The sequence below is a fragment of the Homo sapiens genome, unplaced genomic scaffold (assembly GCF_000001405.40).
Source record: "Homo sapiens unplaced genomic scaffold, GRCh38.p14 Primary Assembly HSCHRUN_RANDOM_CTG11".
Classification (NCBI taxonomy): domain Eukaryota; kingdom Metazoa; phylum Chordata; class Mammalia; order Primates; family Hominidae; genus Homo; species Homo sapiens.
Genome location: NT_167214.1, coordinates 104,073 through 119,408, shown reverse-complemented (window position 1 = coordinate 119,408; position 15,336 = coordinate 104,073). Strand labels below are relative to the sequence as shown.

At 72.3% G+C, this 15,336-nt stretch overlaps 1 long non-coding RNA gene and 4 other non-coding genes across 5 annotated transcripts in view; all 5 read right to left on the bottom strand.

The window, feature by feature from the left end:
• LOC100507412 (uncharacterized) overlaps positions 1-15,336 on the bottom strand; it is a 29,568-nt gene that overhangs the window by 7,288 nt on the left and 6,944 nt on the right. The gene's annotated exons all lie outside the window — the stretch shown is intronic.
• Positions 629-13,985, bottom strand: RNA45SN5 (RNA, 45S pre-ribosomal N5). Its single transcript, NR_046235.3, has one exon. It is a non-coding gene; the product is annotated as an RNA, 45S pre-ribosomal N5 (ribosomal RNA).
• On the bottom strand, positions 992-6,061 carry RNA28SN5 (RNA, 28S ribosomal N5). The gene has a single exon (NR_003287.4). It is a non-coding gene; the product is annotated as an RNA, 28S ribosomal RNA N5 (ribosomal RNA).
• RNA5-8SN5 (RNA, 5.8S ribosomal N5) lies at positions 7,229-7,385 on the bottom strand. Its single transcript, NR_003285.3, has one exon. It is a non-coding gene; the product is annotated as an RNA, 5.8S ribosomal RNA N5 (ribosomal RNA).
• On the bottom strand, positions 8,463-10,331 carry RNA18SN5 (RNA, 18S ribosomal N5). The gene has a single exon (NR_003286.4). It is a non-coding gene; the product is annotated as an RNA, 18S ribosomal RNA N5 (ribosomal RNA).

The following is a 15,336-nucleotide window of genomic DNA, read 5'->3' as shown; positions in this document are numbered from 1 at the left end:
AAAGAAAGAAAGAAAGAAAGAAAAAAAAAAAAAAAAAAGGCAAGACAAAACCTAAAAGCAAAAAAGGAGGAAGCATTACTGGCTGACGGCAGCAGTGACTCCCTCTTAAAAGTCCCGCGGACGCAAACTCGCGGTGGGGCTGAAAAAAATGTGGGAGAGGGAGTTCCGCGTGGTCCCAGCTCCACGGCGGGCCGAGGCCGGTGGAGGTCGCGGGCGCGTGAACGGGAATCAGCGCCCTCGCGTCGGTGCGCCGCAGCGTCCGGCGGCCGCCTGCTGGTCGACCCGGGACACGTGCAGGCGCCGGCTAAGTCCGGAGCTCGCGGGCGGCAGCTGGTCGACCCCGGAGGTGCCGACCGAGACGGGGACGCTCCGGTTGCGGTTCGTCCCGACGGGCACTCCTACACGCCGCTCGGTGGAGAAGGCCCGCCGTTCGACCCGGGACACGGCGAGACGCCGGCTGAGTCCCACGCCCGCGGGCGGCAGGCGGTCGACCCCGGAGGCCCGACCGAGGAGAGGTCGCGAGCGGAGGTCGGCCGGGTGCGGGGACGCCCCGTGGGGCCTCGCCGCCCGCCGCCCACCACCCGCGGTCTGCTGGTCGACCCGTGCGGAGGAGCGAGGAGGAAGGACGCGCGAGGGCCGGGACCCCGGGTGGCCGCCCCACCGGGGCCCGCGCGGCCAACCCCCGGGACGGGGACCGGCGGGCCACGGGCCCGGCTCGGCGCGGCCGCCTCCGCGGCTCCCAAACCACGCTCCCCGGACCCCGTCCCGGCCCGGAGCGGACGAGCCGCCCCGGCGGTGAACGGGGAGGAGGCGGGAACCGAAGAAGCGGGGCGCGCCGACCGGGGTCGCGCGCCCTCCCCCCCACACCCCCACCACCACGCCCGCGGTCGGCGGGAGAGGCCGGGAGGGAGGAAGACGAACGGAAGGACGGACGGCGCCGGACGCGCACGCCCCGCCGGGCCCCCCGCACGCGCGCGCGCGCGCGCGCGCGGACAAACCCTTGTGTCGAGGGCTGACTTTCAATAGATCGCAGCGAGGGAGCTGCTCTGCTACGTACGAAACCCCGACCCAGAAGCAGGTCGTCTACGAATGGTTTAGCGCCAGGTTCCCCACGAACGTGCGGTGCGTGACGGGCGAGGGGGCGGCCGCCTCTCCGGCCGCGCCCCGTTTCCCAGGACGAAGGGCACTCCGCACCGGACCCCGGTCCCGGCGCGCGGCGGGGCACGCGCCCTCCCGCGCGCGCGGGGCGCGTGGAGGGGGGGGGCGGCCCGCCGGCGGGGACAGGCGGGGGACCGGCTATCCGAGGCCAACCGAGGCTCCGCGGCGCTGCCGTATCGTTCCGCCTGGGCGGGATTCTGACTTAGAGGCGTTCAGTCATAATCCCACAGATGGTAGCTTCGCCCCATTGGCTCCTCAGCCAAGCACATACACCAAATGTCTGAACCTGCGGTTCCTCTCGTACTGAGCAGGATTACCATGGCAACAACACATCATCAGTAGGGTAAAACTAACCTGTCTCACGACGGTCTAAACCCAGCTCACGTTCCCTATTAGTGGGTGAACAATCCAACGCTTGGTGAATTCTGCTTCACAATGATAGGAAGAGCCGACATCGAAGGATCAAAAAGCGACGTCGCTATGAACGCTTGGCCGCCACAAGCCAGTTATCCCTGTGGTAACTTTTCTGACACCTCCTGCTTAAAACCCAAAAGGTCAGAAGGATCGTGAGGCCCCGCTTTCACGGTCTGTATTCGTACTGAAAATCAAGATCAAGCGAGCTTTTGCCCTTCTGCTCCACGGGAGGTTTCTGTCCTCCCTGAGCTCGCCTTAGGACACCTGCGTTACCGTTTGACAGGTGTACCGCCCCAGTCAAACTCCCCACCTGGCACTGTCCCCGGAGCGGGTCGCGCCCGGCCGGCGCGCGGCCGGGCGCTTGGCGCCAGAAGCGAGAGCCCCTCGGGGCTCGCCCCCCCGCCTCACCGGGTCAGTGAAAAAACGATCAGAGTAGTGGTATTTCACCGGCGGCCCGCAGGGCCGGCGGACCCCGCCCCGGGCCCCTCGCGGGGACACCGGGGGGGCGCCGGGGGCCTCCCACTTATTCTACACCTCTCATGTCTCTTCACCGTGCCAGACTAGAGTCAAGCTCAACAGGGTCTTCTTTCCCCGCTGATTCCGCCAAGCCCGTTCCCTTGGCTGTGGTTTCGCTGGATAGTAGGTAGGGACAGTGGGAATCTCGTTCATCCATTCATGCGCGTCACTAATTAGATGACGAGGCATTTGGCTACCTTAAGAGAGTCATAGTTACTCCCGCCGTTTACCCGCGCTTCATTGAATTTCTTCACTTTGACATTCAGAGCACTGGGCAGAAATCACATCGCGTCAACACCCGCCGCGGGCCTTCGCGATGCTTTGTTTTAATTAAACAGTCGGATTCCCCTGGTCCGCACCAGTTCTAAGTCGGCTGCTAGGCGCCGGCCGAGGCGAGGCGCCGCGCGGAACCGCGGCCCCGGGGGCGGACCCGGCGGGGGGGACCGGCCCGCGGCCCCTCCGCCGCCTGCCGCCGCCGCCGCCGCGCGCCGAGGAGGAGGGGGGAACGGGGGGCGGACGGGGCCGGGGGGGTAGGGCGGGGGGACGAACCGCCCCGCCCCGCCGCCCGCCGACCGCCGCCGCCCGACCGCTCCCCGCCCCCAGCGGACGCGCGCGCGACGAGACGTGGGGTGGGGGGGGGGGCGCGCCGGCGCCCGCCGGGCTCCCCGGGGGCGGCCGCGACGCCCGCCGCAGCTGGGGCGATCCACGGGAAGGGCCCGGCTCGCGTCCAGAGTCGCCGCCGCCGCCGGCCCCCCGGGTGCCCGGGCCCCCCTCGCGGGGGACCGTGCCCCCGCCGCCGGGGCCCCGCGGCGGGCCGCCGCCGGCCCCTGCCGCCCCGACCCTTCTCCCCCCGCCGCCGCCCCCACGCGGCGCTCCCCCGGGGAGGGGGGAGGACGGGGAGCGGGGGAGAGAGAGAGAGAGAGGGCGCGGGGCGGGGAGGGAGCGAGCGGCGCGCGCGGGGTGGGGCGGGGGAGGGCCGCGAGGGGGGTGCCCCGGGCGTGGGGGGGGCGGCGGCGCCTCGTCCAGCCGCGGCGCGCGCCCAGCCCCGCTTCGCGCCCCAGCCCGACCGACCCAGCCCTTAGAGCCAATCCTTATCCCGAAGTTACGGATCCGGCTTGCCGACTTCCCTTACCTACATTGTTCCAACATGCCAGAGGCTGTTCACCTTGGAGACCTGCTGCGGATATGGGTACGGCCCGGCGCGAGATTTACACCCTCTCCCCCGGATTTTCAAGGGCCAGCGAGAGCTCACCGGACGCCGCCGGAACCGCGACGCTTTCCAAGGCACGGGCCCCTCTCTCGGGGCGAACCCATTCCAGGGCGCCCTGCCCTTCACAAAGAAAAGAGAACTCTCCCCGGGGCTCCCGCCGGCTTCTCCGGGATCGGTCGCGTTACCGCACTGGACGCCTCGCGGCGCCCATCTCCGCCACTCCGGATTCGGGGATCTGAACCCGACTCCCTTTCGATCGGCCGAGGGCAACGGAGGCCATCGCCCGTCCCTTCGGAACGGCGCTCGCCCATCTCTCAGGACCGACTGACCCATGTTCAACTGCTGTTCACATGGAACCCTTCTCCACTTCGGCCTTCAAAGTTCTCGTTTGAATATTTGCTACTACCACCAAGATCTGCACCTGCGGCGGCTCCACCCGGGCCCGCGCCCTAGGCTTCAAGGCTCACCGCAGCGGCCCTCCTACTCGTCGCGGCGTAGCGTCCGCGGGGCTCCGGGGGCGGGGAGCGGGGCGTGGGCGGGAGGAGGGGAGGAGGCGTGGGGGGGGGGGCGGGGGAAGGACCCCACACCCCCGCCGCCGCCGCCGCCGCCGCCCTCCGACGCACACCACACGCGCGCGCGCGCGCGCCGCCCCCGCCGCTCCCGTCCACTCTCGACTGCCGGCGACGGCCGGGTATGGGCCCGACGCTCCAGCGCCATCCATTTTCAGGGCTAGTTGATTCGGCAGGTGAGTTGTTACACACTCCTTAGCGGATTCCGACTTCCATGGCCACCGTCCTGCTGTCTATATCAACCAACACCTTTTCTGGGGTCTGATGAGCGTCGGCATCGGGCGCCTTAACCCGGCGTTCGGTTCATCCCGCAGCGCCAGTTCTGCTTACCAAAAGTGGCCCACTAGGCACTCGCATTCCACGCCCGGCTCCACGCCAGCGAGCCGGGCTTCTTACCCATTTAAAGTTTGAGAATAGGTTGAGATCGTTTCGGCCCCAAGACCTCTAATCATTCGCTTTACCGGATAAAACTGCGTGGCGGGGGTGCGTCGGGTCTGCGAGAGCGCCAGCTATCCTGAGGGAAACTTCGGAGGGAACCAGCTACTAGATGGTTCGATTAGTCTTTCGCCCCTATACCCAGGTCGGACGACCGATTTGCACGTCAGGACCGCTACGGACCTCCACCAGAGTTTCCTCTGGCTTCGCCCTGCCCAGGCATAGTTCACCATCTTTCGGGTCCTAACACGTGCGCTCGTGCTCCACCTCCCCGGCGCGGCGGGCGAGACGGGCCGGTGGTGCGCCCTCGGCGGACTGGAGAGGCCTCGGGATCCCACCTCGGCCGGCGAGCGCGCCGGCCTTCACCTTCATTGCGCCACGGCGGCTTTCGTGCGAGCCCCCGACTCGCGCACGTGTTAGACTCCTTGGTCCGTGTTTCAAGACGGGTCGGGTGGGTAGCCGACGTCGCCGCCGACCCCGTGCGCTCGCTCCGCCGTCCCCCTCTTCGGGGGACGCGCGCGTGGCCCCGAGAGAACCTCCCCCGGGCCCGACGGCGCGACCCGCCCGGGGCGCACTGGGGACAGTCCGCCCCGCCCCCCGACCCGCGCGCGGCACCCCCCCCGTCGCCGGGGCGGGGGCGCGGGGAGGAGGGGTGGGAGAGCGGTCGCGCCGTGGGAGGGGTGGCCCGGCCCCCCCACGAGGAGACGCCGGCGCGCCCCCGCGGGGGAGACCCCCCTCGCGGGGGATTCCCCGCGGGGGTGGGCGCCGGGAGGGGGGAGAGCGCGGCGACGGGTCTCGCTCCCTCGGCCCCGGGATTCGGCGAGTGCTGCTGCCGGGGGGGCTGTAACACTCGGGGGGGGTTTCGGTCCCGCCGCCGCCGCCGCCGCCGCCACCGCCGCCGCCGCCGCCGCCCCGACCCGCGCGCCCTCCCGAGGGAGGACGCGGGGCCGGGGGGCGGAGACGGGGGAGGAGGAGGACGGACGGACGGACGGACGGGGCCCCCCGAGCCACCTTCCCCGCCGGGCCTTCCCAGCCGTCCCGGAGCCGGTCGCGGCGCACCGCCGCGGTGGAAATGCGCCCGGCGGCGGCCGGTCGCCGGTCGGGGGACGGTCCCCCGCCGACCCCACCCCCGGCCCCGCCCGCCCACCCCCGCACCCGCCGGAGCCCGCCCCCTCCGGGGAGGAGGAGGAGGGGCGGCGGGGGAAGGGAGGGCGGGTGGAGGGGTCGGGAGGAACGGGGGGCGGGAAAGATCCGCCGGGCCGCCGACACGGCCGGACCCGCCGCCGGGTTGAATCCTCCGGGCGGACTGCGCGGACCCCACCCGTTTACCTCTTAACGGTTTCACGCCCTCTTGAACTCTCTCTTCAAAGTTCTTTTCAACTTTCCCTTACGGTACTTGTTGACTATCGGTCTCGTGCCGGTATTTAGCCTTAGATGGAGTTTACCACCCGCTTTGGGCTGCATTCCCAAGCAACCCGACTCCGGGAAGACCCGGGCCCGGCGCGCCGGGGGCCGCTACCGGCCTCACACCGTCCACGGGCTGGGCCTCGATCAGAAGGACTTGGGCCCCCCACGAGCGGCGCCGGGGAGCGGGTCTTCCGTACGCCACATGTCCCGCGCCCCGCCGCGGGGCGGGGATTCGGCGCTGGGCTCTTCCCTGTTCACTCGCCGTTACTGAGGGAATCCTGGTTAGTTTCTTCTCCTCCGCTGACTAATATGCTTAAATTCAGCGGGTCGCCACGTCTGATCTGAGGTCGCGTCTCGGAGGGGGACGGGCCGCTCGGCGGACGGACGGACGGAATCGCGCCGGCCCGACCGCCCGCCCGACGCTCCGTCGGGAGACGGGCCCGGCGAGGGGGAGAGGCGACGGGAGAGAGAGCGCGCGGCCGGCGGCACCCCCGCGCCGCCCCGCCGGAGCGGGACGACCGGAGGGAGGGGCACGGGCCGGGGGCGGGACGGGCGCCGCACGCCCCGACCCGTCTCCCCCGCGGAGGTCGGGGGGACGGGTCCGAGGACGCGGCGGCGGAGCCGCCCCGCCCCGACGCGGAAGCTCGGGACGGGGCCCCGGCGCGGCGCGGCGCGGCCGCGAGCCGGAGGCGGGCGCGCGACGGCGGACGACACCGCGGCGTCCCGCGGGTCGCCGCCGGGGACACGCGAACCCCGGCGCCGCGGCCACGGGCGCGGCCGGGCGGGCCGCGGGGCGGGCTCCCGGCCCCGGCCGACGCGCCGCGAGGCGAGCCGGGCGGGCGGGCGCGCGTACGCGCGGGGAGGGCGAGGAGGACGGGCGGGGCCTCGGAGGAGGGGCGGCGGGGAGGAGGAGGGGCGCGGGAGCGGCGGTCGGCCGGACGCCGGGCCGCCACCGGGGGCGGGCGGCGAACCGCGGCGACCGGGACGCGCTCCCCCGACCCTCTCTCCCCGCCGGCACCCTTCCCCTTCCGGACCCGCCTTCCTCCTCCCCCACCACCACACCGCACGCAACACGCCCCCACCGCCGACGACGCGCGACGACGACGACGACGACGGGCACGGGACCTTCCACCCGGCCGGGGCCGACGAACCCCGAACCCCGAGCCGCGCGCGGCGCGAGGGAGCCCCCCGAGGGAGGAACCCGGACCGCAGGCGGCGGCCACGGGAACTCGGCCCGAGCCGGCTCTCTCTTTCCCTCTCCGTCTTCGCGGGCGGCGGCGGCGCCGCCCTCCCCGTCTCTCTCAGCCGGGCGCGCCCCCCTCTCCCCCCCGCCACCCGACGCGTGACCACGCAGGGCCCGCGGGGGGAGGGGGAAGGGGCGGGCGCGGCGGCAAGAGGAGGGCGGACGCCGCCGGGTCTGCGCTTAGGGGGACGGAGGGCCCCCGGCGGGCCCTGCGAGGGAACCCCCAGCCGCGCACCCCGAGGAGCCCGGAGGCACCCCCGGGGGCGATTGATCGGCAAGCGACGCTCAGACAGGCGTAGCCCCGGGAGGAACCCGGGGCCGCAAGTGCGTTCGAAGTGTCGATGATCAATGTGTCCTGCAATTCACATTAATTCTCGCAGCTAGCTGCGTTCTTCATCGACGCACGAGCCGAGTGATCCACCGCTAAGAGTCGTACGAGGTCGATTTGGCGAGGGCGCTCCCGACGACGCACCGGGAGGAGGCCCTTCCTGGCGCGGCACGTCCCCCCCCCCCCCGCCCAAGAGGAGAGGGGGTTGCCTCAGGCCGGCCAGACGAGACAGCAAACGGGACCGGACTCCGGAGAGGGGTCGGAAGGTTTCACACCACGGGGAGGCGCGCGCCGCCCACGCGGGGGCGAGCGCGGACACCACCCCACAGGCGCCCGGGGGTTCCCGCCCCCACGGCGCGGGGCGCACGCCACACGCGCGGCAGGCGCGCGACGGCCGCCGGGTAAAGCCCCCACCCGACGGCCGCCGCGGCGGCGGCGGCGGCGCGGCCCCGGCCGGGGAGCGGAGTCCGCGGTGGAGGCGCGGGAGGGGCCGGGCCCCTCCCGACGGGACTCCCCCGCGGGCCCACCACCGCCCCCGACCCACGGGCGGACGGGCGATCCCCCCAAGGGGTCTTTAAACCTCCGCGCCGGAACGCGCTAGGTACCTGGACGGCGGGGGGGCGGACGAGGAGGCGGGGGAGGGGACCGGCGTCCGGCCCCCGACCCTCGAGACGCCCTAGCGGGAAGGCCGGGGAGAGCGAGCGGGGCCGTGCCCGGCGGCGCGGAGCGGCGCGGCGGAGGCGACGGGAATCCGGCCGGCCCCGAAGACGGGGAGCCGGCGCGGCGGGGCCGGACGACGGGCCCCGGCGGGGAGGAGGGCACCGAGACCCCCCCAGACCCGCCGCGACGCCGCCGAGAACCGCCCCCGCGCCCGCCGACACCCACGTCGTCGGGGCCGCGGCCGGGGACCGCTCCCCGCCGCCCGCCGGCCCCACGACACGCGCACACCAACGACACGCCCTTCTTTCTCTTTCTCTCTCTCTCTCTCTCTCCCCCGTCTCCCTCCCGAGTTCTCCGGCTCTCGCGGCCGGCGGGGCCGGGCGGCGAACGAACGAGCGAGCGAACGAACGGGCACGCGGGCCCCGCCCGCGCACGCGCCGCGTCGCGGTGGGGGGGTGGGTGTGCGGAGGGAAGCGCGCGGCGGCGGCGGCGCCGCCGCGGGCCTCGCCCTCCGGGCTCCGTTAATGATCCTTCCGCAGGTTCACCTACGGAAACCTTGTTACGACTTTTACTTCCTCTAGATAGTCAAGTTCGACCGTCTTCTCAGCGCTCCGCCAGGGCCGTGGGCCGACCCCGGCGGGGCCGATCCGAGGGCCTCACTAAACCATCCAATCGGTAGTAGCGACGGGCGGTGTGTACAAAGGGCAGGGACTTAATCAACGCAAGCTTATGACCCGCACTTACTGGGAATTCCTCGTTCATGGGGAATAATTGCAATCCCCGATCCCCATCACGAATGGGGTTCAACGGGTTACCCGCGCCTGCCGGCGTAGGGTAGGCACACGCTGAGCCAGTCAGTGTAGCGCGCGTGCAGCCCCGGACATCTAAGGGCATCACAGACCTGTTATTGCTCAATCTCGGGTGGCTGAACGCCACTTGTCCCTCTAAGAAGTTGGGGGACGCCGACCGCTCGGGGGTCGCGTAACTAGTTAGCATGCCAGAGTCTCGTTCGTTATCGGAATTAACCAGACAAATCGCTCCACCAACTAAGAACGGCCATGCACCACCACCCACGGAATCGAGAAAGAGCTATCAATCTGTCAATCCTGTCCGTGTCCGGGCCGGGTGAGGTTTCCCGTGTTGAGTCAAATTAAGCCGCAGGCTCCACTCCTGGTGGTGCCCTTCCGTCAATTCCTTTAAGTTTCAGCTTTGCAACCATACTCCCCCCGGAACCCAAAGACTTTGGTTTCCCGGAAGCTGCCCGGCGGGTCATGGGAATAACGCCGCCGCATCGCCGGTCGGCATCGTTTATGGTCGGAACTACGACGGTATCTGATCGTCTTCGAACCTCCGACTTTCGTTCTTGATTAATGAAAACATTCTTGGCAAATGCTTTCGCTCTGGTCCGTCTTGCGCCGGTCCAAGAATTTCACCTCTAGCGGCGCAATACGAATGCCCCCGGCCGTCCCTCTTAATCATGGCCTCAGTTCCGAAAACCAACAAAATAGAACCGCGGTCCTATTCCATTATTCCTAGCTGCGGTATCCAGGCGGCTCGGGCCTGCTTTGAACACTCTAATTTTTTCAAAGTAAACGCTTCGGGCCCCGCGGGACACTCAGCTAAGAGCATCGAGGGGGCGCCGAGAGGCAAGGGGCGGGGACGGGCGGTGGCTCGCCTCGCGGCGGACCGCCCGCCCGCTCCCAAGATCCAACTACGAGCTTTTTAACTGCAGCAACTTTAATATACGCTATTGGAGCTGGAATTACCGCGGCTGCTGGCACCAGACTTGCCCTCCAATGGATCCTCGTTAAAGGATTTAAAGTGGACTCATTCCAATTACAGGGCCTCGAAAGAGTCCTGTATTGTTATTTTTCGTCACTACCTCCCCGGGTCGGGAGTGGGTAATTTGCGCGCCTGCTGCCTTCCTTGGATGTGGTAGCCGTTTCTCAGGCTCCCTCTCCGGAATCGAACCCTGATTCCCCGTCACCCGTGGTCACCATGGTAGGCACGGCGACTACCATCGAAAGTTGATAGGGCAGACGTTCGAATGGGTCGTCGCCGCCACGGGGGGCGTGCGATCGGCCCGAGGTTATCTAGAGTCACCAAAGCCGCCGGCGCCCGCCCCCCGGCCGGGGCCGGAGAGGGGCTGACCGGGTTGGTTTTGATCTGATAAATGCACGCATCCCCCCCGCGAAGGGGGTCAGCGCCCGTCGGCATGTATTAGCTCTAGAATTACCACAGTTATCCAAGTAGGAGAGGAGCGAGCGACCAAAGGAACCATAACTGATTTAATGAGCCATTCGCAGTTTCACTGTACCGGCCGTGCGTACTCAGACATGCATGGCTTAATCTTTGAGACAAGCATATGCTACTGGCAGGATCAACCAGGTAGGTAAGGTAGAGCGCGGCGAGGCCCCGACGCGGCCGGACGGCCGGCCGGGGGGCCTCGCGAGGACGGGCCCGGCGCCCCGCAAGCGAGGAGGACGACGGACGGACGGACGGGCCGCGGACGGGCGGACGGGAGGGAGCGAGCGGGCGCGGGGGCGGCGGCCGGGACCGGTGGGGCCGGGGCGGGGCGCGGCGAACCGGACGCCCCAACCACCCGCCCCCCACGCGACACGACCACCGGGGCCCCGCGCCACAGACCCGCGACGCTTCTTCGTCGCGCCCGCCCGCGAGGAGGCGGACGGCCCGACCCGCGCCCGGCGGCCGGGAGGGACCGGCGGCCACGCGCGCGCGCGCGCGGCCGGCGCCCGCGGGCGGCGGCGAGGCGGGGACGGCGCTCCGCCCGCCCCGCGGGGCGGCCCCGACGTCCGGGCGGCGAGCGAGAGGCGGACCGCGGTGCCCGGCCCGGGGACAGTCGCGCCGTGCGGCCGCAGCGCCCGCGCACCGGTCCGGTCGAGGGCCCGGGGCCCGGCCGAAGCCCGGCTCCGAGCCCCGCCGGCGGGCGCGGGCGCAGGGGTGGCACACGCCACACGACGGCCAAGGGAGGGCCGACCGAGGCCGGCCGGCGCGCCCGCCCCCGCCCGGGACGGGGGACCGCGACCGGGGCCGAGGCCCCGGCCCGGGCCCCACCCCCCGACCCGGGGAAAGGGCGAGCGACCGGCAAGGCGGAGGTCGACCCACGCCACACGTCGCACGAACGCCTGTCCGGCAGGGACCACCGGGCCGCGCTCGGGCGCACGCGCGCGCCGAACGGGGCGACGCCACGCGGGGAGGACGGGCTCTCCCCGACGCCGACGCCCGGGACGGACGCCTCGGGGAAGGGCCGCGGCAGGCCCGGGAAGCGAGGCGCACCCGGGGGACGCGCCGACCCGGTTCGGAAGAGCGGGCCGGGAGAAGACGAGAGACCACGGGCGAGGCCGGGGCGACGGGGAAGGCGCGAGAAAGGCGGCCGGCGGGGAAGGGGACGCCACGGGGACCCCTCGAGCGCGGCCGACCGCGGCCGGGACACACGCGCGGGGCCTCACCGCCGCCGGCGGCACCGCGCGGCACCCGGGGCGGCCGACCGGCCCTCGGCGATCCCCGCGGCTGCCCCCACCACCGCCGCCGCAGTCGCGGCCGGTCCCCCGGAACCGTCTCCTCCCCCGCACGCGCCGCAGGCCGACCCCCGGAACCCTCCGGGAAGCCCACCGGGCCCCACGCGGGGCGCCACCGACCCGGTCCCCAAGGCGCGCGCCGGGGGACGCGGACGCCGGGCCGATCAGTGGCCGGCGGCGGCGCCCCACGAGGCGGTGCCGGGTTCGGTCCCAGGCGGGGCCACCAACGGACGTGAAGCCGGTGAGCCGCTCGGGGGGAAGAAGAGGATCGGCGGGCGGCGGGCGGGGAAGAGGGCACAGACGGGCGAGGGCCGGGGACCGCGAGGGCAAGGGCACCCGGGAGCCCGCAGAGGCGGCGGCTCGGGGAGAAACCTCAGGCACGGCCGGGCCACCAGGAAAACACGGCCGCGGGATCCCACCGCCACAGACACGAGGGCGGTCCCGCGGCGCCCCGCCTGGGACGCCGGACGGCCCTCGGCCCCCACCGAGAACCGCCTCGCGAGCCCCGGGGCCCCGCCACCGGGGGCCCCGGAGCGACCGCAGCCACGAACCCGACACGCCCGCACCACCGTCGCTCGTGATTCTCGTCCATCCTCCGACCCGGTCCCGCTCCGGGAGACCGGCGCGCCCCCACCGTGGGACGCTTTCCCAGGGCCAGGCGGGCCCGACCCCGTGCCACGCAAACGCGGTCGTCGGCACCGGTCACGACTCGGCACGGGAGCGGGCGGAGAGCCGACTCGCGGCGGAGGGGGTCACGCGCCGGACAGAGCGCCGGGCGCGCACACCCACCGCCCGCCGGCCGCCGCGTCCCAACCCGCTGGGAACGCCGGGCCCGGCCCGGCGGGATCCTCCCCCGACTCGGAAGGGGGAGGCGCGGGCCACAGTAGGCGACGAGCCGCACTCGGCCACCACCGCGGTGGCCGGCGGAACCCTCGCTTCTCCCCCCCAACCCCGTCGAGGGGGAAGCGGAGGAGGGTCCTCTGCGAGCGGGTCGCTACGGCAGCGCTACCATAACGGAGGCAGAGACAGAGGCGGCGGCCCGGGGGATCCGGTACCCCCAAGGCACGCCTCTCAGATCGCTAGAGAAGGCTTTTCTCACCGAGGGTGGGTCACACTCCCCCCACCCGCCAGCCGCTCCTCCTCGGGCCCGCAGAGGCGCCGAGGGACGCCTGGGGAAGGGAGGGGGCCCTGCGGTACGAGGAAACACCTGCGCGCGGCCACCTCGAGCGTTCGCGTTCAGGGCGGGGGCCCGGCCGGTGCGCGCGTGCGCGCAACCCCACCAGGCCCCCCCGTCCACCCACCTCCTTCCTTCCGAGGCAGAGCGCCTCCGAAGTCAACCCACACACGACCGGTCGGAGGCAGAACGGCAGCCCCTCGGCGGCCGGCCGGCGCACGCGTCACACCGGCCCGAACCCACCGCGATCGCTCACACGGCCCGCGCGCACCCGCCAGAGGGGAGCACGGGACGTGCGCTCACCGAGAGCAGGCGGGCGCCCTTCCCCGCGTGGGAGGGGCGCGTCTCGTCTCGTCTCACTCAAACCGCCTCGAACCCCACACCGACGAGCTCCCTCAGGACCCACGCGCGGACACCGCGGCGGCGACCGGAGGAGGGGGCGCCGGGGGCGGGAACGACACACCACCGTTCGGCCTCGGGCACCTGAGGGACAACCCGGAGCGCTCCAGGAGCACCGCAAGGGCCCAGGCGGAGCCGACGCTCGCGCAAACCCCCCGAGAGGGCAGCACGACGGGCCGGCGGGACGGCACCCCCACCGCCGCGGAGGGGGGCCGCCCGCAAGTCGACAACCACTGGAGGCGACAGCGAGGGCTGTCTGCCGCGTCAGAGGACCCCGCCGGCCCGCCCCGCGACGCAGAAGGCGGCGGGCGGGACGGCGAGGTCGGGCCGGGGTCCGCACCCCACGCCTTCCCACACGCACCGCCGGCGGGCGGGGAGAGGAGAGACGAGGGGACCCCCGCGGGGCGGAGCGAGAAGGACGGTCCCGTTCGCCACGAACGTCCGCCCCTCGCCCGTCGCGGCTCGGACCCGGCCCGGGAGAGCACGACGTCACCACATCGATCACGAAGAGCCCCCCGGGAGCGGAGGCCGGCCGGCCGGCCAGCGAGCCGATCGGCTCCGGCCAACCCCCCACTCCGGGGAAGGGGCGGCGGACAACCCCGCGGAGACGAGAACGCCTGACACGCACGGCACGGAGCCAGCGGGGTGGGGTTGTCGCGGCCGCCCCGGGCGCCCGCAGCGGAGAGCGCACGGGGGCACGGTGGCCCTCGCCGCCTTCCCCGCCGCCCCCGGGTGGGTCAGAGACCCGGACCCGGGCCGGCACCGGGAGTCGGGACGCTCGGACGCGCGAGAGAACAGCAGGCCCGCGGGCCCCGGCAGGCGGCTCAAGCAGGAGCGCGGCCGGCTAGCCGGGTCACCGGTAGGCCAGAGCCCCGCGCGCATCCGGAGGCCCAACCTCTCCAGCGACAGGTCGCCAGAGGACAGCGTGTCAGCAATAACCCGGCGGCCCAAAATGCCGACTCGGAGCGAAAGATATACCTCCCCCGGGGCCGGGAGGTCGCGTCACCGACCACGCCGCCGGCCCAGGCGACGCGCGACACGGACACCTGTCCCCAAAAACGCCACCATCGCAGCCACACACGGAGCGCCCGGGGCCCTCTGGTCAACCCCAGGACACACGCGGGAGCAGCGCCGGGCCGGGGACGCCCTCCCGGCCGCCCGTGCCACACGCAGGGGGCCGGCCCGTGTCTCCAGAGCGGGAGCCGGAAGCATTTTCGGCCGGCCCCTCCTACGACCGGGACACACGAGGGACCGAAGGCCGGCCAGGCGCGACCTCTCGGGCCGCACGCGCGCTCAGGGAGCGCTCTCCGACTCCGCACGGGGACTCGCCAGAAAGGATCGCGGCAGAGGGACCGCGGCCCGGCCCGGGGACCGCTCCCCGGCACCCGGGGGACGGGGGCGGGACGGTCCCCGGCTCCCCACGGGGACTCGGAAACGAATTCGGCCGCCGCCTCAGACGGCCAGGATGAGCGCGGACCCGCGACCGGGCCGGGAAGGGCGTCCCCAGCCTCCCGCGCCACGCGCGGCGGGTCCCCGCGGGTCGCGGCTCGGGCCTCGGGAGCTACGGCGCGCTGGTCGACCGGCCCGGGCAGCCCCACGCCCGCCGCGGGCCCAGAAGCGCAGCGACAGCCTCTCCCCCACATAAACCTGCACGCCAGAGCTGTGACTCACAAGCGACGCGCCACAGCTCTGGCGCCACCGGGCCAGCCGGGCTGACGACCGCGGGCTTTCCGGAGCTCTGCCTAGCTCACAGCGGGGACGGTCCCCTCCCTCGGCAGCTGCCACCGCAGCTCCGGAAGCCGAGAGCACGATCTCAAAGCGGCCGCCAGATGGAGCCCGACAACCGCCGCGGACGTCAGCGAGACAGATCCGGCTGGCAGGGCGGCCCGTGGACCGCGAAAGCGAAACCGTGAGTCGAGAAGCTCTTCCCGAGGCCGAAAACGCAGCCCCTCTGCCCCAACCCCACACAAACGGTGCCCAAAACGCGTCTCTGCCTCGACCGCGACAGAGTCAGAAGACAACCCACGGCGCGTGGGTGTTTGGAGATGCCTCTCGGAAGCAGGGAGGGAGGGAGGGAGGGAGGGAGGGAGGGAGGGAGAAAGAACACACAAGGACTCGGTCGCGGGTCGCTGCAGACACACGGAGAGGCAGAATGCGTAGGCTCTTCCGGAATCCACGCAGAGACAGACGGGGGGAGGGGAGTGGGGAAAAGAGACAGATGGCGAAAGGGAAGGAGGGAGGGAAGGGAGCAGGGAGGGAGGGAGGGAGGGAGGGAGGAAGAAAA